Genomic DNA, 1,103 nt, shown 5'->3' with positions numbered 1-1,103 from the left:
TACATTTAAAATTGACCACAATTTTTTTGGGGGGGTGGGAGGAAGAGGTAAAATTTACAGATAGTCTCTACACATTGTTTTCTCATATTACGATGTATAGTTAAGCTTTATTCAGCACATAATTGAGACAGCCAGGTGGGAAAGTGTCCCCAAAGAATCTCCAACCAGCCTGCCCACTGGGAGGAGTGTGCACTGGGGTGGAACCACAGAAGTCTGTGCCATTTGCAGTGGGGAGGAGCCTGGCCCCTCCTCTTCCTGGGTGGAATTTGGGATTCAATCTGTGAGGTGGGAAGCTTATACTAGGAGGACTCTCACTCTGTTTTTTTTCTCCTTTTTGCCCAGTAAATCCCATTATTCTCACCCTTCAAATTGTCTGCAAGCCTACTTCTGTGGCCAAATGACAAGGACCCTGCCTTTAGCTGAATTAAGGACAAGTCCCGCAATGTGATTATAATAGTCCCAGACCTACTGAGATACAAAAGAACTAAGTGGTTTCCTGCCAGGGAGAAAATTACCACGGAAAAGGTAATGAGAGGTGATAGCCTCCTGGCAGCCCTCGCTCGCTCTGGGCACCTCCTTGGCCTAGGCGCCCACTCTCGCTGCGCTTGAGGGGCCCTTCAGGCCACTTCTTGCGGGGCTTCCCCACCATGGGAGCCCCTCTCTGGGCTGGCCAAGGCCGGAGCCGGCTCCCTCAGCTTGCGGGAGGTGTGGAGGGAGAGGCGCGGGTGGGAACCGGGCTGCGCCTGGTGCTTGCAGGCCAGCGCGAGTTCTGGGTGGGCGTGGGCTCGGCGGCCCCACACTCGGAGCAGCCGGCCAGTGCTGCCGGCCGGGTGAGTGAGGGGCTTAGCACCCAGGCCAGCAGCTGCAGAGGGTACGCCGGGTCCCCCAGCAGTGCCGGCCCCCCGGCGCTGCGCTGGAATTCTTGCCGGGCCTCAGCTGCCTCCCGGCGGGGCAGGGCTCCGGACCTGCAGCCCGCCATGCCTGAGCCTCCCTCCCGCCCCCCACCGCCGTGGGCTCCTGCGCGGCCCCACGAGCGCTACCCCCTGCTCTGCAGCGCCCGGTCCCATCCACAGCTCAAGGGCTGAGGATTGTGGGCGCATGGT

The sequence above is a fragment of the Homo sapiens genome, chromosome 4 (assembly GCF_000001405.40).
Source record: "Homo sapiens chromosome 4, GRCh38.p14 Primary Assembly".
In the NCBI taxonomy this organism is placed as follows: domain Eukaryota; kingdom Metazoa; phylum Chordata; class Mammalia; order Primates; family Hominidae; genus Homo; species Homo sapiens.
The sequence above is the reverse complement of the archived record's forward strand: the minus strand, read 5'-3'. Positions refer to the sequence as shown.